Source organism: Homo sapiens, chromosome 11, assembly GCF_000001405.40.
Source record: "Homo sapiens chromosome 11, GRCh38.p14 Primary Assembly".
In the NCBI taxonomy this organism is placed as follows: Eukaryota; Metazoa; Chordata; class Mammalia; order Primates; family Hominidae; genus Homo; species Homo sapiens.
Genome location: NC_000011.10, coordinates 114,079,357 through 114,101,055, shown reverse-complemented (window position 1 = coordinate 114,101,055; position 21,699 = coordinate 114,079,357). Strand labels below are relative to the sequence as shown.

Below are 21,699 nucleotides of genomic sequence, written 5' to 3'. Positions count from 1 at the left end.
GCACTCCAGCCTGAGCAACAGAGTAAGACCCTGTCTCAAAACAAACAAACAAACAAACCAGCTTGCAACGCTCCTGGCCATGAACCCCCCGGGGACCCCCGAGATGCTGGCTCCCGTGAGTATCTCCTCATTAAAAACCACTCTAGGGTCACTCACCATACTAGGGGCTGTCTAGATTCCCAAGTCAGCCTTAAGTTTTGCGAAAGCTGTAGATCGCTGATCTTTAGAAGAGAGGATTCTGATAGTCACTGTCTGGTCCTGCGGTAAGTTTGTAAGTATCCCAGTCTTATAAAAGGTTAATAATTCCACAAAGCGAAATGTGCCGCATCTCACAAAAGGGTCCTCATTGAGTTTCATCTTTTTCCATCTGTGCCTGAGTAAACGCAAGAGGAAAGGGGCCAGACTTGCCAGCACCTCCAAATCCCCACACCGTTCTATGCCCATAGTCTCCCGAGAGGGAGGATAAAATACTTGCTCAAATCGGTCTTAGTTTAAACACTTTTGTCATCCAGCCAGGCCAGGGCTACAAAAATTAGATGAAATATTAAATACATACTAGTCCCCTCAAAATAAGTCAACCCCCATGCCTACTATATTACTGGGGAGTAGGGGGCATAGAGGGTGGTAAGGAAAGAATATTTTTACTTAAATCCCTGGATCACAACACAGCCTTTCAACCAGCTGTGCAGACACAGCTTCAGTTTCCCTGGGTTTGACCCAGTGCCGCCAAAATCACCAAGTCTTCCTACCCCAAGCTACCTCCATCCAATTTTAACTGTCACCTCGGGCTGACCATGAGCAGAGAGAGATGACTGGATAAGCCATTTAGCATTACGTGGAGAAAGGAAAGAGACATTTTGCCACTACTGATTAAGGAGAACCTGCCAACCTGGGTTAAAAAACACACAAACAAAAAATCAGATCTCAGAATATATTAGTGTCATTAAGAGATCATGTTCCCAGTCCATGGGAATCCCAGTGCAGGGCACCAACTCAAGAATGCAGCTGCTTTGGGGTGCTCTAAAAGGGAGCTCATGTTTCTTTTTAAACCTTTTAAGGAGGGTTGACTGTGTATGCAGCAATCCACTAGACGTCAGAGGACACACACTGGGGTTGAGAAAGACAGACACCTCTTAGGAAGGCACAGGAGCATTGAAGAGTGTGTGTCATGGGCACCCACAAGTGCACCAACACAATCCATGCTTTACACTTTGAAGTTCAATGACTGTAGCGCAATGTGTTTGGAAATGTATTTTTTTCTACTGAATCCCTTGGGCAAGAAGAGAAGTTGTATCATCGCTTCTGTTTTCCAAAATGGAAGGCCACGTGAAGAAGACCTAGCCTGTCTCCCTTCTCCCTCCAAGGCTGACTACCTCCTCATACCCCTCACCCTCCAATGCACACACACCACACACTGCTTCGCTCACTTGAGCTGACACCACACAGCTTTAAGAACCATTGACTCACCAGCAGGCTAAGCCTTGAGACTACAGTATCATCCACTGGTTAAACTAAAACCACACTGGAGACTTAGATTAAAATGCATGTTTCCCAGCAGCTGCTATGTTTCTTGTTACTACTTTTTTTTTTTTTAAGCCAGGTGCCAAGAGAGGAGATAAATCTAAATAATACCTACACTTCCTTATTATAAACTACACTCCTTTTTTAACTGACCACATCATAAACATTATAAAATAGATTTATTTTATATATGTGTGTATGTGTATATATATATTCAGAGTATCTACATCTCCTCCTCATGGGGAAAAAATCACAGGCTGTAAGACCACTGTTTAGAAGTGTAATTCCATACTTAGAAAAACTAAAATCAATATCTGTTGTAGCACCTCTCTCTCCCCCAGTAAGATCACGGTTGTTTTAGGAGGATACAAGCTTCTGAAATGCAGCTTTAACAAACAGAACATTGCTCAACTGTTCTAGAGGCAGGTGTCATAAACAAGCAGCCACATGGCAAACATATTGATTTCCCAGCCCTTATCTCACAGCAACCAGTGCTCAGTTACCAGGCTACTTTAATATGTAATTTACTGAAGGGAAAGGAGAACAGGGCTGAGGATGTCCGAAATATTTACTGTAGAATTCGGCAGTGCCATAGAAGCTTGCAAGCAAATATGAAGAATTCTGGGCTGAAAACCACAAATAATCATTAGCATTTCCAAACTGTTGAGTGAAAAGACCCCTCCCCCATTTCCTTTTCCCCTCACCAAGAACCCATTATTTGATATTATTGATCTTCAGCAACTATGCTTATGCTATGAAAATCCAACCCACCACTACCTTTATCTAAATACAGATGCTTAATTTCTGCCAAAACAGTCCAAGGAAATTACCTCCATCCATTAAGTATGTTATATTGGACTCTTCCCTTGCTTCTTGGCCCACCTGACTCAAGATAAAAATAAAGAGGACGAGGAGGTTAGAATTTCTAAGGCTCCCGTGCTGGTTTTTGCAAGACTCGTGAGAATGTCAGGAGTTAGCTTTTTTTTTTTTTTTAATTTAAGTCAGACTTTTTATATATCCCAAGCTGCAAAACACCAAAAAAGATCCAACACTAATTAAAAGCAATCAATGTATAGTTACATTAAGTGGGAAAGAAGCTCTGTGTCTGGCGTTAAAGGTTGTAAGTTTAAAATAAACCTAGAAATGCCAAACTTACGCTTTTTCAGATCCGTGCCAGTGCGCCCACACGCCTGGTACTATATATATAGTGCGCCCCTACCTTCACATGCAGGCCATTAAACCTTCAAAAGCACAGAACGAGGCTGCTGGCTATGATACCACCACGGGGGCAGAGGAAACTTCCATTTCCAGAACTTATATTTTCATCTTGAGATCCTGACTTATTTGGGCATAGATTTTCACTTTGAATTTCCTTATGGGTCTTTAAATTTTCATGTGAATAAAAACCAAACAAAGAGGAAGGGAAGAAGAGCAGGAAAAAGATGCTGTTGAGAAGCTCACAAAATCTCTGGCTACATCTGCCACCAGTTGCAGGAGGAGACAAGGCCCGTCACAGATGGTGAATAGAAAACCTCTGAAAACCTGACCACATACGTACCAAGTCTAAAAGCAGAAACATCTCTCCCATAATTTTCAGACATTTTGCAAATGCAGTTGAATTTTCTTCCTCACTGAAACCTCCCTGTGTTGTAAGGCCACAGATATTATTTAATTATTTAAGTGCAGAAAGAAAAAAAAATCAGAGCGGAAGATTTTCCTTAACTTCTCTCTGGGAAGAGGTCAACTAGAGAATGTCTCAGAGCCAAAAAGGGGGAGATTTTTCTAGAATCACATGACAAATACCAACACAAGACCTCAACAAGTAATCATACCACTTGAGAGATAGCACTTAATAAAAATCACTTTAACAATAACAATAATGATAGTTAAAGGGCAACGCTAGACTGATCGCTGATACTCAGGAGTACAGGCGATGTGTGTTTTTTTTAAAAAAAATTTAGCAGAGGGTTTTTATCAGTATGATATTCTCAGTATTTTCTAAGAATTTTTTCTCAAATGCCAAGTATTGCAATTAACATAAAATACATTTTTATTGTAGTAAAACTATGTAACTAAAATTTACCATTTTAAAGATTCTAAGTGTACAGATCAGTGTCATTTAGTACACTCCTGATGTTGTGTAACCATTACTACCATCCAGCCACAGAACTTTTTCATCTCCCCCAACTGAAACTCTGTACCCACTCAACCTTAACTCCCCATTCCCCTCTCTCCCCAGCTCCTGGCAACATCTATTCTAGTTCGTGTTTCTACAAATTTGCTTTATATAAGCACAGATGCCTCATATAGATGGCACCATACACTATCTGTCCTTTGCTATCTAGCTTATTTCACCTAGTATAATGCCCTCAAAGTTAATCTGTGTTGTACCATGTGTCAGAATTTCCTTCCTTGTTAAGGCTGAATAATATTCCACTATATGTATATACCACATTTTGTCAATTTATCCATGGGTCAATGAACATTTGAATTATTTCCACCTTTTGGCTATTTTGGCTAATGCTGCTATGAACATGGGTGTGCAAATATCTGTTCAAGTTCCTGCTTTCAATTATTTAGGGGGTGTGTGTGTGTGTGTATACACATAACACTCCCAGAAGTAAAACTGCTCACAAAATATGTTTTTGTTCTTTCAAAAGGAATCCATCGTTTGTGCTTTGGTATCCAACACTCTCATCAAAACCAAAAAAGAAAAAAAGAATTAGATTAGAAAACTGAAGTCAACAATGTCGCTGAAGCGGGAAGCCACGCAAGGGTACACAGTCGCAAAAGTGCCCGTAAAATGCTGGGCTGCAAACCCCTCAAGTTTCCTCATTTGATGGGGGTGAGCAGTTTTAGTTCAACCCCAGAAATGCACCTTAATAAAGGGTTCCTCGGCTGCAGGAAATGCAGCTGACCAGTCTATGAACAGTCTCAATATGCCATTACTGCACACTTATGAGACAACGATGTTTAAAAAAACATAGGCATATGTTTTGACACAACCTTATTTAAATCTGCTGGGGACTTACTGTACGAGGCAGCACATGAAAACCAGCATGCTGACATTTTAGGACGAAGAAGCACACAGGAGACCACAGAGGTCTATTCTCCCATCTCTCAACGGCTTAAAAACTTAACATGCTAAGATAAAATTTGTGTGTATCTCTTTAAGATAGCATATTTTAGAGGCTTATGTCTTACCACAAATCAGAAATAATAGATAAGTCAAAACCTCCGAATTTTAATGAAAGCTGAAACCACACCAGCTCTCCAATATCCAAAGCCTGGCAACATATTTCAGAAGCTCAACTGGAGATAAAAACGAGCGACAAGGGAAAAGGCAATTTTAGGTGCCTCCAAGGGAAGTCTGGAGATTTGATATTAAAATACCCCTGGTTGCTCAGACCATGAGGAATTTACTTTTTCATAGAATAAACTTTTCTTTTATACTCCTTTTTTAATACAGTGTCTTAAGTAGATCTTTTGGAATTTACAAGATAAATACTGGTAATTTGATTCTTATCTTCTCTAAATCCAATTCTAAGCCAATTTTGTGTAAAGGACACTAATTATAGCCTACAGGGAGAGAAAAGGCAACCTATCAGAGAGAATACACTTGAAACATTTAAAAAGCTAGGGGACCCTGAAAAGTTAAATAGATTTCAAATCTATTGGAGTAAGAACAATAATTAATTCCATGGAAATTATTCTCAGAGCCTGGTCTGCTTCCCATGGGCACTTCAGAGACCTTGTCAACACGGCACCCAAGCATGCTAGGGTGAAAGGGATTTAGGGTTTACTCTCCTAACCCCCTAGGCCTGAGCCTCGCAGTTGTTTAAAAAGACCCTGCCTTGGTGACTAAAAGTATGAGAAAGTGGGCGAGTGAAGAAGGTCTTCTTGCAAAGGTCCCAATTCTGCCTTGTTTGCATGTCTCTTTCTCCCTGCTCCATAACCTATGTATAAGAAATTGGTGGCCGGGCGTGGTGGCTCACGCCTGTAATCCCAGCACTGTGGGAGGCCAAGGCGGGCGGACCACGAGGTCAGGAGATTGTGACCATCCTGGCTAACACGGTGAAACCCCGTCTCTACTAAATATACAAAAAATTAGCTGGGCGTGGTGGCGGGCGCCTGTAGTCCCAGCTACTCAGGAGGCTGAGGCAGGATAGTCGCTTGAACCTGGGAGGCGGAGGTTGCAGTGAGCCGAGATCGAGCCACTGCACTCCAGCCTGGGTGACAGAGCAAGACACGAGACTCCATCACAAAAAAAAAAAAAAAAAAAAAAAAAAGAAAAGAAAAGAAAAGAAATTGGTTACATAAGACACGACACTGTGGTTTTCCAAACTAAACCCTAAAGAGCGCATTGACTGAGACTGCAGGGCGCGTGCACGTGCATCTTCATTCCTCACCACTCCTACATCTTTGTGCTATTTTTCTTGGCCTTGGTCACAAGAGACAGTCATGCTAAAAGGGTGCCATAAACCCCCTCTCACGTTTGCAGGCAGCTTTATGGATGCCAGAACATGCAGACAGGCCCCCAGCTTCTATGGTGTGGGGCCACAGTGACCTGCAGCCCAGTGCGAAGCACTCTGGAGGGGTATCTGGGCTAACAGGGCACATAAGCTGGTTGAAGGATCAGTGAAACTGATCCCAGAGGCCTTGGCCTTTGGAAACTTGGAACTGATAGCTCAAAACATCTCACCAGAACAGCTTTCGGCTGACGACCACTCCAACCATGGAAGCCCCTTGGGCCAGGGACCTCCTGCCTCTGATTGAGGGGCAAACAGATTTGAGATCCAGCCCCAACCAGCTCACTGTGGGATAGACCCTAGTTAAGAGCCACATCCATCCACAACAAGGGTGCTTTTTCTAATTCACACGAAAGCACTGTGTGGACCACTAGCAACCATGCTTGAGCCCAGAAAGAAACTTCTTGAGCCCCAGCAATGGCTCTCTCTGGAAGCTACCTCCTCCTTCCTACTGCCTGCACACCCAAGTTTGCCACCATCCCCTAGAAGCTGGATGCCACCCAAACAGCCACAGCATTGCAATCCATGGGGTGGCCCATGCCCTTCATCAATTAGAGAAACCTTCCAAAGTGGCCTATTCCAATATCCCAATGTTGAGATGAACCAACATCTTAGACTTTACACGGACTCGTTTGGTTTTTGTTTTACTCAAAAAGTCAATTTTTTAATGTTTTTTATTTTTTATTTTTTTGAGACGGAGTCTTGCTCTGTCTCCCAGGCTGGAGTGCAGTGGCACAACCTCAGCTCACTGCAAACTCTGCCTCCCGGGTTCACGCCATCCTCCAGCCTCAGCCTCTCGAGTAGCTGGGACTACAGGCGCCCGCCACCACACCTGGCTAATTTTTTGTATTTTTAGTAGAGACGGGCTTTCACCGTGTTAGCCAGGATGGTCTCGATCTCCTGACCTCGTGATCCACCTGCCTCGGCCTCCCAAAGTGCTGGGATTACAGGCGTGAGCCACCGCGCCTGGCCCTGAAAAGTCAAAAATATTTTTAAGGGCTTATACTGAAGAGCCTAACCAGAAGGGGGCTCAAAGTCTGAACCAATGACGTTGTCACTATTCCAAACACATGAATACAGAAAGAAAAAATGTCCGTTGACAATTCAGTTTCATTCCACCCAAAACCAACAGTTGCATATGACATGTTGTCTCAAAGAGCTGGTGTGATGCCTTTTTTAGAAACTATCTAGAAAATGGACATAGGTTAAAGGGCAGAAATAAAGTTCTCGACTGTTCTTACAGATTAGGCCTCCTGAGAAACCAGGCAGCAGATAAATCAGTGCTGGCTGAATGGGAACATTTCCTGTACTATGTCTTTCCCATCTTTCTTCTACAAGCTCCAGCTGCTGGACACAGAAGTGGCACAAGAGCCAAGAATATGGTAAACAGAGCCTCGGAGGCTATAGTCTTGGTTCTACCTTTCAGGACAATGCTCCACCATCCTTGGGCCACACACTCATCTCCTTCTAGGGGTCCCGTTGCTTCTTCTTGCCTTGGTGTTTATTCACCGCCTCTCTCAAAGATGGGCAAGGACAAGAGAGGGAGTTGTCCCTTGGAAGCAGCAGCAGGGCTGAGTGTAGTGGAGGAAGAGAGGGGAATCGGGGAACAAAAGGCTGAAAAGGAAGCCTGGCCTTTCTGTAGCAGGGAAACAGCAACATCCCCCCTCCACACCCCCAGCAATACGGTGTTCACCTCTCCACAATACAGACCACCCAGAACTTCACAGACAACCCAAGCCTCTCTGGGATAGGCCTAAATTGAACCATTCTGTGCCACTGCCAAACTGTGGCTGTGATTTCTGGTTCTGAAAATATGGTCCTGAAGATACAATTAAAGGGCACAGGCAAAAACACGTGGGGCCTTAACACCCCATGTAGACTCGGCCACTGAAGTCAGGCAGGTCAGTAAAGTCAACATTATGAGGCTTGCCAGAGTTTACCAATGTAGGACAGGCACTGGTGGTTTTTTAATCTTCTTTAAAAGGGTGATTTTGGGGTGTGGTGTGGTGTGTGTGTGTTTTCACATATTCTACAACCTCAAACTTTAATCCTTCAAATATTCTTCTGGAAAATTTCTCTTCCCTATATAATAATGGAGACCAGAAGGGAACATGCCCAAAGAACCCTCAAGAGCCAGGGAAAGGTGGGAGGAAGATTGGGGATACTAGAAAGTGAGGTCTTCATTTTGGCTCTTCAGACTCATAAAAGGACCATGGCCTGACCAGTCTGAAAGGAGAGAGCCCTGTGCAAGCCAACCCCATGAGTTATGGGACCTAAGCCTTACGACGGCCCTATATATTAGGTATGGGCTAGCACCTCCCAGCCCATTTTAGAGATGCACAAACTAAGGCCTAGCAAGATAATACAGGGAGAAGAAGAATTGAAAAATGAAAGCTACAAGGAACAAAGGCCCCACAGAAGTCTATTGCTGTCCCTGAAACTTCTCTTTGGAGAGAAAAGGAGGGGGAGCAGAGGACAGCGGGGTCTTCTCTGCACTGTATCCTCAACCACAATGGATGTGAGGACAACGGAACCATCTGGAGAACACAAGAAGAGAGGAATCACTTTGCTCCACACAACAAGAGGATCGAGGCAGTGTGCCCCCGCCCCAACCCCAGACCACAAAATAGGTTTTAAGGAGCAGCGTGGAGCTGTCTAAACAGGCACTTGCTCACAATCCTAGAGGCGGCTCCCACACTGGCTCTCCCTCGCTTCTCCCCTAAGCCAAACTGCCAATGACAAAAAGCCCCTTCAGTGCTCCGGGTGCCCCCACCTTTGTAGCCAGCCCTGGAAGGCCTGAATGCACAAACACAGTGCCCTTTCACCGGAGCCTCTCGGGTCTCCTGTTTCAGTGAGGCCGTGAAAGAGAGCACTGTAAATAAAAGAGGCCTGTTTGACCTGCCCCTCTGGCCGGGACCTCCTTCCACTCTACTGTAACAGAGCTGCCGGCCAGCACAGCCTCGGCCCCTCTGCTCAGTCCTACTGCCCACGCCCACTGGGCACCGAGGGGCAGCAAGACAAAAGGGTGAGGCCCAGCCTGGTCTAAGGGTGTCAGTGAGAAGGGGCGCACAGGCCTGGTCATTCCAATGACTCGTAAGCATCAAAGCACTTGTTTAAATGGTTGCAGGGAAAATCATCCCAGAATACCACTGCTTGACCGGCTTAGGAGAGGGGGAGGGGAGGCCATTTGGTTTTGTTCTCTTTGTCCAGCCAAGTGGACAAAAACAAGGGGAAGGGGAGTGGGCTGGGGCACTGGAACCCACCCTCAGTCGCCGCATACAGAGGAGACTGTCCCAGCAAGTCTGAGGAATAAATAGGAACTGTGTCATGCTAGGTGCAGCCATATACTTTAAACAGGAAAGCAGAAGGAAGGAAGGGAGGAAGGGAGGGAGGGAGGGAGGGAGGAACAAAAGATTGGGGAAAGGAAAGAAAAAGAAAGCACAAAGAAGGCCAGAAGTGGCAACCACCCTCACAAGTACAGAGAAAACACAAGCCAAAGCCCCAGGGGCTGCTCGGACGTCTACGGTGACCACCGAGCACCAGCATTTATAGAAACGGACATCCACAGGCCAGGAGTTGAGAGTTCATGCCAGGGGGTGGAGGAGAGGAAGGGAAAGACAGGAAAACATGCTTTTTTTGTTGTTGTTTTGTTTTGTTTTGAGACAGGGTCCCACTCTGTCACCTAGCTGAAGTGCAGTGGTGCAATCTCGCCTCACTGCAGTCTCCATCTCTCAGGTTCAAGCACTTCTCGTGCCCCAGCCTCCCAAGTAGCTGGGACTATAGGTGCATGCCACAACGTCCCGTTAATTTTTATATTTTTTTAGAGAGGTGGTTTCACCATGCTGCCCAAGCTGGTCTCCAACTCCAGGGCTCAAGCAATCCTTCCACCTCGGCCTCCCGAAGTGCCTCCCACCGCACCCAGCTGAAAGGGTCTTTACTAAAGAAGGTTAATTGCCTTAGTCTGCGTCACCAGGTGTGAGGATGTACGGCTCTTTAACCATCCCACTACACACACACTGCGATTTGCACTAGCCCCACCTTAGGGCAGGGGGAAGGGGTGGAGAAGGATGAAATCTGAAACTCAGAGGGGAAAATAAATAAGTGGAAACCAAAAAGCCATACATATGTTTCTTAAAATTTCCCACAAAGACAAAATGCTACAGAAAAAAAGCAGAAACCAACCAAGAGTTTGGGAGGGATATTAGTGTCTTCCAGGAATAGGGCAGCAGGGAACCCATGGGTACACACTCCCAGCCTGTCCAGGAAACTGAAGTGGGTTTCAGGCCTCTCTACAACAGCCCAGGGCCTGCCCACATAGCATCCAATAGAATGAAGTCCTTTTTTAAGTTTTAAAATGAGTCTCCCAGGATTGAGGGATGAAAAGGCTGAGAATCAAAGCCACACATTTGGAAGCTCTTGCCTGCCTAGACCTCAGCCCAGCCCTCCAAAACCATCTTCTCACCACCAGAAAGTCCACACGTGTTTATGATGGGGGTGGAAAGAGGGGCAGCAGAGGGGAGAGAGGGAGCTCCCCTGGCTAGGCCAGGCATCCCTACCCTGCTTGCCATGCCAGCAGCCTCCCGGAGTTGGCCAGACAAGGCCTCAACTCAGAAAGATCCAAAAGTTCCAGAGGCCATTCTGTCTTCCTCCATCCTTCCCCCACGTTACAGCCCTGGGAATAGAACCAGGACATTCCCCAACACCATCAGGCCTCAGACACCTAAGTGACAAGAATGGCCTCACCCCACAGAAAATGCACCTCGTTAGCTGAGGTAAGACCCCTCCCCTAACCATCCACAGAATATCCTGGCAGGGAACAGAATAGCAGGGAGCCACATTTAATGGCTGGAATAGCCACTCTGCCTCTGCAGGCCTCGGTCACTTATCCATAAAGTGGGCATGAGAGCAATAATGCTACTTTTCTTGCCTGAGAGCCATGAGATGACCTAGATGACCTCCGTATGTCCCTTATGGAGCTAAGATCTTAACTGTAGGAACAATCACAGCAGCAGCAAGCAAGAGCAGCCAAGTGACCCAGAATCAGCAGCTTCCTGCCCTGAGCCTGGCTGGCTGCCCCAGGGAGGCTGCAAGCAGGGGCAGAGACCCACATGTGCTATCTGGATGCCTATAAAACCTCTGAACCTTTACGTGGCACACACCTTGGGTTTTACCTGCGAAGTCTAGAGGGGGAGCAGCCAGACCTCCTGGCCTCTCTCACCTCATACCTATACCAGGTTCACAAATTCTGCAGAGAATGCACAGCACATTGACTAACTCAGATGCAAAAAGATGATTCCCCAGTGGGCACATGAGGACCGTAGCTAGGTCATCATCTTCTTTGCCTCCTTGCCAGCTACTTCAGCAGCCTCTGTCTCCCACTGGCCAGGCCCAGGCTGGAGAGAGGAGGATTCCCAGGCAGTCTGGAGAGGACTGATATTCTGCCCCCATCTTTGGAATCAGAGGCCCCCTCTACAATTCAACCTATTAAACATCGTGGATCATTGCGCTGTGCTACCTGCCAGGTTGGGTACTGGGGTAGAAAAAAAGAAAAGGTCACAGTCCCTATCCTCAATGATCTTCCAATCTTCCTAAAGAAAATGGCATGAAAAATCAATATCGTGGTATAACAACTGGGTTAACCAAATCAGCAAGAGGTACTGAAGGCTATGATGTACAAATGAGACATTATGAAGCCTAAGCCAGCAAGAGATACTGAATACCTATAATGTACAAATGAGACATCCCTGCCTGCCAAAGATCAGACACCTGTCTGTCCCTCCAGGATCTACCCTTCACAGGACATCATCCATAGGAAAGCCCCAGCTTGAACCAGCAACGCTCCCCGCAGATCCCTGCCCGCCACTCCCAGCAAAGGTCTTCATGAAGGCTCTTCCACAAGGACTGCTTGTTACTGGGATGTGGCCCAATCACGTGGGTACTGGGTGGGGGTGAGGAGGGAGAAAAGAGGACCCAGCTGCAGGCCTCGTAGTCCTCGTCCCCAGGCCTTGCTCGTGGTCACCCTGTGGGTGCACACAGGCTGCAATGTGTTCATACCTATGCCTGCACAATCAGGCATTGTGTGGGGGGGCCCCCAGGCCACCTCCCTTCACAGACTTCACACTCCCCCAGCCCTGCCTGGCCTATTCCTGCCACAATAAAGATGCCAATTAGGACAAGGTTTCCCCCAATTAAAAAAGAAAAGAAAAGATAAAAGAAAAAACTTCAGAGCAAAGATGACTCTGCTTTAACAATACCTGAGTCTGGGCCTGCTTCTGGGGCCCTTCCCCACCAGTACTGCCTGGGTAGTTAACCCTTAGCACAATGCAGATATTCAAAAAGCTCAGCCACCCCTGCTTCAGAGGAACACCCTGGCCATCAGGCATCCTCCTGTTCCTAAGCCAGCAAGAGGTACTGAATACCTATGATGTCCAGGGCACTAGACTCTGAAGGGGAGCAGTGGACGAAGCGGGGCTGTATAACTGAATAGGATTCCAGGTCCTGCCCACAAAAACGTGGGGTTTCTTAGGGAAGAAATGAACAGAAATACAAACAATAAAAGATCCAGGCCGGGCACAGTGACTCACACCTGTAATCCTAGCACTCTGGGAGGCTAAGGCAGGAAGATCACTTGAGGCGAGGAGTTGGGGACCAGCCTGGCCAGCATGGCGAAACCGCATCTCTACTAAAAATACAAAAATTAGCCAGGCATGGTAGCGCATGTCTGTAATCTCAGCTACTCGGGAGGCTGAGACACAAGAATCACTTGAACCCAAGAGGCAGAGGCTGCAGTGAGCCAAGTTCATGCCACTACACTCCAGCCTGGGCAACAGAGTGAGACTCTGTATCAAAAAAAAAAAAAAAAAAAGAAGTATCTGGCTTTATCTATACCTCTTCTGGTGTGGGAGCTCCAATGGAGGGACATATTATTTCCAACTGGATGCAAGGAGGAAGAATGCCCCAGGAAAGGATGCTGCAAGGAGAGGGCATTTACACTGAAGCATGAGAGATTTGGCCCTGTTGCGATGACCAGAGAAGGATATGGCATGGGAAGGGAAGCATAAGAGTTTACTCAACAGCAGCATCTGCTGAGTTGCCATATGCTAGAGAGTGGACTAAAAGGTTGTAACACAGATGTGAAAAAGATGGTCCCTGCCTTCAGGGGTGTACATTCTAAGAAATATGCAGAGAAAGGGATGAAGAGTGAAAATGTAGCTGGAATCTAGGATCCCGGATGGCTTTGAATGCCACGCTAAGAATTCTCTCGTTTCTTCTCTAGAATAGGCCATAGTGAGCCACTGCAGGGTTCAGAGCAGGAGAGCAACCCCATCAGAGCCCTACTCTGCTCAGGGAAGTGGGGTGATGAGCCTTGCAGGGGTGCACTGCAGGAAGGCTGGTGAGGAAATCAGGACAGCCATCTGGTTAAGTAGGCTGGAGAGGCAAATGGTGGATATGGAAGGCAAAGGGAAGACAGGAGCCACAGATGATGCCAAAGTCTGCAGTTGGGTGCCTGGGAAGAGGGCAGAGACCACAAAACATGAGGACACAGGAGACGATTCGAGAGGAAGGTGTTGAACTAGCTCAAACACATCACATTCTAGATCCTTGCAGGACTGGTGTGCCCGTGAGGCTACTGGAAAAGAATGTGTGAAACACAAGAAAAGACAAAAAACGAAAAACAACTAGAGGTAGAGATCTGGAAATCACCCACAGAGGGTTGCTTGTGGAAACCACAAGATTGTCAAGAAAGACACTGGAGAGACAGGAGAACTGGTAAGGTCATCTTCTTCTACATTCAGCAGAGAGGGTCACGGTTTCAACAGACATCGATGAACAACCACCATCTTTCCCGTGAGAAGAGAAACTACCAGCATTTTGCAGATGATGAAACAGACTCAGGAAGAGGGGGAGGTGGCCAAAGTGTTTGCCACTTAGAAAGTGGCAATGTCAGGATTCAAACACAGATCCCAGGGAGTTCCAGGCACCACATGGCACTGACCCTAGGGAGGGAGTTCCAGGAAATACCAGAGGAGGAGGGGGAGAAGTTGGCAGGAACAGGAGGGGTCAATGGAGCCAATACTGGAGTCTGGGAAAGTATTAGTTGGCGCAAAAGTAATTGCAGTTTTTGCCATTGAAAGTAATGTCTAAAATAGCAATTACTTTTGCACCAACCTAATACAGTGCTCTTGAGAACTAAGAGGTCACAAGCAACCTTTGAAAGAACAGCATCAACAGAGTTGAGGAGCTCTCAGGGCAAATGAAACAAGAAGTCCAAAGCTGGAGAGAATAACTCTGAAAGCACCCAAGTATTCCTTTTAATAGGATTCACCTCACAGGTGGTTGTGAGGATGGGATGTGTTAATGCAAGTAAAGTGCTTTGTCCATAGTAAATGCTCAATTAGCTATTATTTACTGAGTACCTACTATGTATTCAGCATGGTGTCAGCAGACAGCTGAGGGAGAGAAGATAAACCACAATCACTATCCTCATGGAACTTAGGTTGTGGCTGGGGGGATAAAACTTAAACTCAAACGAGGCAGCAGAGCTTATACTCAAATGGTGCAAACTGGAGATGGCACAGGAGACAGAAGAGGAAGCCAGCAAGCACCAAGACAGACAGACAGCGCTTCCCAGAGAAGCCTGACTTGAGGAGGTCTTGAAGGCTGGACAGGATGAGAGACACCAAGGAGAAAAAGAAGGACAATCCAAGTGCCAGTGGGGGTGGGGGAGTAGTGAATGCCAAAAACAAAAGCACTTCCGTTCCAAATCCCACTCTCCTGGCCACGCCTGGCTCCTCTGAGGCCCAGGGCTGAGTTTGCACTGCTGCGTAATGTTTGCAAAGGGTACAGCATGAATGTGAAAAAGGACAGGTGTGTGACTAGCCTAATGCCCCATTCAGCAGGCTCCACAGAGCAGGGCAGGAGTTAGTGGGCGTAAGAACTTCAAGCAAGCACCCAAGCCAGGCTGTCTGCAAGGCTCTTTACCACCACCACCCCCATCACTAAATACGTAGAAGGCTGAGGACATCAGAGGGGCTCTGCATTCTGAGCAGCCACATGGTCTCACACCCTCCCCAGTTTTGTCTTCCAATAATATCGCAATGATCCAACCCCTATCAAGTGCGCCTTACAAATGTCCAGAAAGCTAGCTTGGTATTCAAATCATTCTAGGACCTGGCCCCAATCCACTTTCCCTGCTTGATCTCCCATCCTACCCCATGCCCATCGCCCCATTCCAGCACACTACCTTGTATACAGGCACCTGCCCCCACCCATACACTGCCACACATTAGCTCATCTCCTACCTCCAAATGGCAGTTCCTGTCTCCACTTGTCCAAAGCCTAGCCATTCTCTAAAACCTGGCCAAATGCTACCTCCTCCATGAAGCCCTCCTGAATCTTCAATCAAAATTCAAAATTCAATTCCTCTCCTCTGCTCCCCCATACCTCACTTATATAATATTTAATCATACAGTCTGATATATATATATACACACACACACACACAAAGTCATACACATATGGCTGTCATTTCTGTTTTACAGTGAACTCTTACAGGGATTTATTAATTTCTCTGCATTACCCCCATAGCATTTAGCAACCACCTAGTACACAGTGATGCTCAGTAAATGCTTTTTGAATTGAATACCTATGGCTAAGGCCTCACTGTTTGGGGGACCTCCTCGAACCATGGGTGGCAATCCATTAGTGGGTCTTCATTAACGTTCTTAAATGAAATAAGATAGAATGGAAGAGAAGATACCAGAGCATATAGTAAAGATAAATAGAGTTTCATTGAACCTTTGGTTTGAGGTACGTTTGTCCATGCACTGGGCTGAGATGGAAAATGTACTACTTGCTGTGGGCCACAGCCTCCACTCTAAGATAAACCAGCAAATTAAAAACCCAACTTATCAGAGGTATCGTCAAAATCCTAACTTCTGAAGAATTCCTGAGGGTCACTACACACTCCACTCAATCACCGCCTACCACAGCTTCAGAACAGCATCATCACAGTAGGTTTTTGGAATCTGGACAAGAGTCCTCAATCATTGAACATGCCACAGGTCCCCTAGACTCTGCCCACTAAGGCAGGAAAGCACAGGGCTCCAAGGTGGGCAGATCTGAGCTAGCTTGATGACTAAAAACGGGATGCAGGATTTAACCCTTTGCTAACCAGACCATGTGCCTGAACAGCAGCTCATCTAAACATTGACTGTATTTTAAACCCAGAAAGCAACATTCCCAGATGATCCTGAGCAATAAGGCCTCCTCCCAGGATTTCTAACTTGAGGCCCCACGTGGAGAAGGGTGTCTAATCTGGGCTTGGAGGAACAGGGCTCTGGGATGATGCACGGAGTGGGGGCTCCCTCCCCTGCCTGACCCTGGCACCTGCTCCTTCTCACCCCTCTCATCAACCCCCACCCGCTCACCTGCTACCTGAGAATCACACAGCTGGCCACAGATCTCTACATTAGTTCAAAAAACCCTCCTCCTCCGGAGCTCTTATCCCTCTAAATAATGAATTTCTCAGCCCTAATTAATGCAAGAAAAGGGATGATATACATTTCTCTGTTGCTTTAAGTTACAGCTAGTTGGACACTCTGAGGGAAGAGCAGCCTCTAGCTAAAGGGTTAGATAAGCTAAAATCAATGTAAGCCACCGCCTCCAAATCTTTTAAATCACCACCTTCTCTCCCCCGACCATCTCTAAGCCAGACCCCTACAGTGGGCATGGAGCAATGTGTAAGCCTGGAAATGACCACCCATTCAAGCTAAAGGCAAGAGAGAGATCAATCCCCTACTGCCACCAAAAAATGAAATAAATAAAATAAAATAACTGCAGCCTCTGGGAGCAATCAGACAGCCAAGAACAAAGGAAATAACCTGAGAGCATGCAATGGAAACAATAGGATGGAGACACTCAGTGGACAGATTAGTAGAAACATAACATCTTAAACAATGGAGGTGAGAGCCTGGTTCTTCCACCAACGGATTAAAGCCACCTGGTTATGTCACGAAATATAATCACCCTGATGTGATCAGATGAAACAGTGATAGAAGATTTATCATCCTGGAAGTATCTGAGAGAGGGTTATAAGAATCATGAGAGGAACTAAAATCATAGAAGAGAAACTGCTGCCTAAATAAGGAAGCCATATAGTTACCTTATAAGTATCACCCACAGAGCAGAATTCTTGGCGGTGGGGCGGGGGGGCGGCATCAAGAATACTTTGAAAATGAAATGTCCTGCTCAAAGAACAGTTACTTCCCTCTCCTGGCTGCGGGGGTGGAGGGATCCAAGGGGAAGCTGGGTGGTACAGAACACGGGAGAGCCTCCGAAGTCCCTTCCAGCCCATCTCCCACCACAGCAGAACAGGGCAACCCCAGATGTCAGGGTAGTGGATTCTATCACCCTAAGAGGGCAGAGGGGAGAGGGCACAGTGCTAGGGCTCAGCTCATCTGAAAGGGCTGTGGGTGGCTGAGGAAGCTTGGAGGGGAAAGGCAGCTGAAGTACAATATATGTTCTACCACGGCCCCCTGGAGCCAGCGACTGGGACGTGAGACAAGTGGGCATGGCTCCTTTTCAAGCCAGAGTCTCCAAAACCAATTTCTTAAAGCTAGCCTCCAGTGGCCAGTGGGTTTCGGGCAGGGAAGGAGGATGTCTATACTGCAGGTTGAAGTTTAATTTATATTTAGGAACTGTTTGTTTTATTTGGTTTTGGGTTAAAGGTGGTAGGTGCCAAGCAAGACTATCCCCCTTTCAACTTCTTTTTTTAAAAAAGACAAAGAAAAGAGAAAAACAAAACAACCAAACACCCGTAGCCCAAGGCCATGCTGCGCTGTGGGCGGCCTACATGAGCTTCCTTTATCCAACCACAAAAAGGCATCCGTGGAACCAGCGAGGGGCCCTGGAACGGCGTTTCCAAGGCCGGCCCGCTCCTCCGTTGAGGTTAGCAGTTACCCAGGGGCCAGGAGCCACTCGGGCAAACAGCCCATGCCCCTCGTTACACAACGTTGGGGCCCTTATCTCCCCATGCCACTGTCGGTTTGCAGACATTGCGTAGTGCTACGACCACAGCCGAGACTGGCCCGCGGGAGATAGCGTCGCTGTTCACTATCAGGGAGGCAAGAGGGGAGACTGGGTTTCTATTAAAAGAGAGTTAGAGAGACGGGTAACAGTCCGGCAGACCAGCTTCAGAGTGTCACTTCCTTTGATCCTGACAGCTGAAGACCCCCTCTCCCCAGGCCCCTCTCCCAGCTTCCCCGCCCACCGAGAGGTGGCAAGGGTCCATTTCATGTCCTCTCATCAAATCTTGGTAGAGTGCCAGGTACAAGATACAGGGGAGAGGTCTCCTTAGGAGCTGATGATCACGCACTAAACTCCTTTTCAGACAGGCTCGTGAAGGCAGGGAAGGAGCAGGGGGCAGTCAGACACATGCCTAGTGGATGTCACATCAGTATGGAGCACTCCAGTCACGTCACTCTCCTTTTCAAATGCCTTCCAAGGCTCCAACTCTCCCGGGATAAAGTCCAAAAAGAAACAGCAGTTAAAACAAACAGCAGTTATATTTATTGAGCAACTACACTGTTACAGGCACTGTGCAGAGTGTGTTAAGTACACTACCCCAAATCCTCAGGCTATCCCACACAATAACTGCACTGTAGGAATGAAGAAGCTACAGTTCATGGTGTGTGTTGCTGTTGTTGTTGTTGTTGTGTTGAAATAGAGATAGGGTCTCACTTTGTTGCCCAGGCTGGAGTGCAGTGGCGTGATCATAGCTCACCACAGCCTTGAACTTATAAGTTCAAGCCATCCTCCCTCTTCAGCCACCCGAGAAGCTGGGATTATGGGCATGCACAGCTGCATTTTTAATTTTTTTTTTTTTTTTGTAAAGATCGTCTCGCTATATTGCCCAAGCCAGTCTCAAACTTCTGGCCTCACGCAATCCTCCTGCCTTGGCCTCCCAAAGCACTGGGATGACAGGTGTGAGCCACTGCACCCAGCCAGTTCACAGTCCTTGATGGCCAACATCACACAGTTTGCAAGTGGCAGCATGAAAATCTGAACCCGGGTCTGCTCAACTTCAAACTCATTTTCTCTCCATTCTTCATGCTGCCTTCTCTAATCTCTCTCCACGCATTTATAGCACCACAGTCTGACCCCAGCCTACCATTCCAGCATGAATCACCCTCATTCCTGCCAAAGAAAGTTACTCCTTGTTTTCTCCCCTGGCCCTGACCACAATTTTCCTTCTTTCTGTCCCCGTCTTCAAAACCTACTTATCCTTTAATATCCTACTCATGTGCTACTTCATCCAGGCTCCCAACATGTATCAAAATCACCCTTACACAGTTACGGACAGGACTGCTAGCTAAGTAAGGATCTTTCTTCCCCATTAGGAAAGCCCCAGGAGGGTAGACGTCTTGTCTATCTTGCTCATCACAGTATTCCCAGGGCCTACCCAGGTGCCCAGCAGACAGTAAGTGCTCAACAAGGTTTTAAAATTTAAAATGAATCACTCCAGACAGAAGTCATTTCAACTCTGAATATATATATCATAGTCTTTCCATTTCCTATTCTCTGTCATAGATATCAACATACATATTTTAACTCAAAGTATAAGCTCTTCAAGGAAAAGTCCCATGTCTTAGCAATCTTTGGGTCTCAAAACCCCCAACATAGGGCATTGTCTGTAAATCCTAAGGAGTTGATGTACATTAGTCTGCTCAGGCTCAGCAGCAGAGAGGTTAATGAGTGTCCCAGGAGGCAAGTCACCATGCCAGAAACCCCCCAGCATCCCTCACAGACAAAGATCTGAAACTGCTCTCAAGTCAGATTCTAGTCTTGCCTACCCCTTGGTAGAAGCAGAGAACAGACCTGGGCAGTCACAGGCAGGCTTGTGAAGGAAGAATTAAAGTGGGCTGGGAGTGAGGGTCCTGGTTTTGCCTCTAGCTTGCTGTGTGACCTAGGGAAAATCACAGAACCTCTCTGGACCTCCACTTACTCCTCCCAAATGAGCATGCTGCAATAAATGATTCCAAGGGCCCTTCAGCTCTGACTGTGATTCTTGGACACATTGAGAGCCCACGCCTGCAAAGCAGGTGGAGAGTGCCTTCCTCAACAGGTGGCAAGAGGAGGAATGGAGACAGGGACACTTAGACAACCTCTCTGTGCTATTCCTCAACCTTCCGAAAATAAACAAACCTTAGCTAGTGAATAAGCCAGTCCCTCTCGTTAGCCAGAACAACAAGCATGATATGAATATGGATCTGAAGTAAATAGAAGGGAGAAAGCAGATACTGAAATGGATTTTCAATAAATAACTTCCCTCTAGTTAAACCTGAATTTTTTCCCACATATGTATGCTTTCACAGATCCAGTTTGGGAGCATTCAAATTAGCACAACCTGGCCTTAAATACTGCACAAAACACATAGTAAGCATTTTGCTTTTATTTATGTCATCAATGGTTTCAATGGGAATGACTCATCCTTCCTCTTTAACACTCTGTTCTAATATGGTTTACTATAAATAATGCAGAGAGAGAGAGAGAGAGAGAGGGAGCACCAGCGAGAGCGAGCATGTGCAGCTCAGCACAAGGCCCCTGCACTGTTAGGTCACAAAAGAGCCGAGTCCAACAGACAATCCTAAGGTGAATCTTGGGCTCAGTGGATGGGCGAGTGTTGGTTCAATGGAGAGGAAAAGCAAACATTCCTCTCTCCACTATTCAAGTGTTCGGGGCAAGGAACATTGTCAGGAAAGGGGAAAAAAATACATGCTGAGTATATGCCAGGTACCAGGCTAAGATTTGAACACACAAGCTCCTTTAACCTTCCAGAGCCTTCCAAAGAGGCAGAGTCAGAATTCAAACTCAGGCCACTGTGCCTCCCAGGCCTCCCTACTCCCCGGGGTGTAGGGGGTCAAAACTCAATCCATTCTTTCTAGCCTCAACCAACATCTAACAGTGACAGTCCTGGTTTTTTGTTTTGTTTTGTTTTCTTTTCTGTTCTTTTAACAACAGAAGTGCCGCCCCGGAGCCCAAACTCACAGGAGGCCAAACCACAAATGCAGAAACATTACAGCAGTTAAAAGGAGTCTTCCCAGTCCCAGGCAATCCATGGCAGCGACTCCTTCCTCACTGGGAGTCCAGCCATAGTAGCTGGAAATCAAAAGCCCCTTGGCCTTGTCCACTTCCCACCTAAGAAGTGAGGCCAACACTCACCCCAGTGCTGAGCCAACAAGCCTTCCCCACACACCCCTTCCAGAATCTGCCTTCCGAGTCAGACACAGCAGCCGACAGTGCTTATCACTCACTATAGTCAACAGATTTGCTACTGCATTATTTTGACCATTTCCAATAGTCACATCTACCCTCCCAAAAGGCAAAGCAAAAGAATGCGGCACACACTTCAGAAAGAATTCCCAAACATTCCCAAACTCTGTGGGGCTGTGGCAGCATCACAGGATTAAGCAATCATTTATTAGAAATGTGGCTTCTTTAGAACAGCAGTAGCACTTTGCAAATGGAAACTTTTATATTCACAATGTACTAACATTATTCACCTATTATTTCACCAGCTGGCTGCTAGCACAGGGTTAGTACTATCATCAATTTAGCAGTGCCCAAAACAAAAGATTTCACTGGTTCC

The 21,699-nt window shown here is 46.6% G+C and overlaps 1 protein-coding gene across 7 annotated transcripts in view, besides 2 other annotated features; it reads right to left on the bottom strand.

The window, feature by feature from the left end:
- ZBTB16 (zinc finger and BTB domain containing 16) overlaps positions 1-21,699 on the bottom strand; it is a 197,060-nt gene that overhangs the window by 155,715 nt on the left and 19,646 nt on the right. The window lies entirely within an intron of this gene.
- Positions 8,495-9,009: an enhancer, noted in NCBI's record as "H3K4me1 hESC enhancer chr11:113962769-113963283 (GRCh37/hg19 assembly coordinates)". NCBI's record gives its function as "activates a minimal SCP1, AML or CMV promoter by ChIP-STARR-seq in primed H9 embryonic stem cells {active_cell/tissue: H9 hESC(primed)}" and the evidence as "EXISTENCE:reporter gene assay evidence [ECO:0000049][PMID:30033119]".
- Positions 9,010-9,526: an enhancer, noted in NCBI's record as "H3K4me1 hESC enhancer chr11:113962252-113962768 (GRCh37/hg19 assembly coordinates)". NCBI's record gives its function as "activates a minimal SCP1, AML or CMV promoter by ChIP-STARR-seq in primed H9 embryonic stem cells {active_cell/tissue: H9 hESC(primed)}" and the evidence as "EXISTENCE:reporter gene assay evidence [ECO:0000049][PMID:30033119]".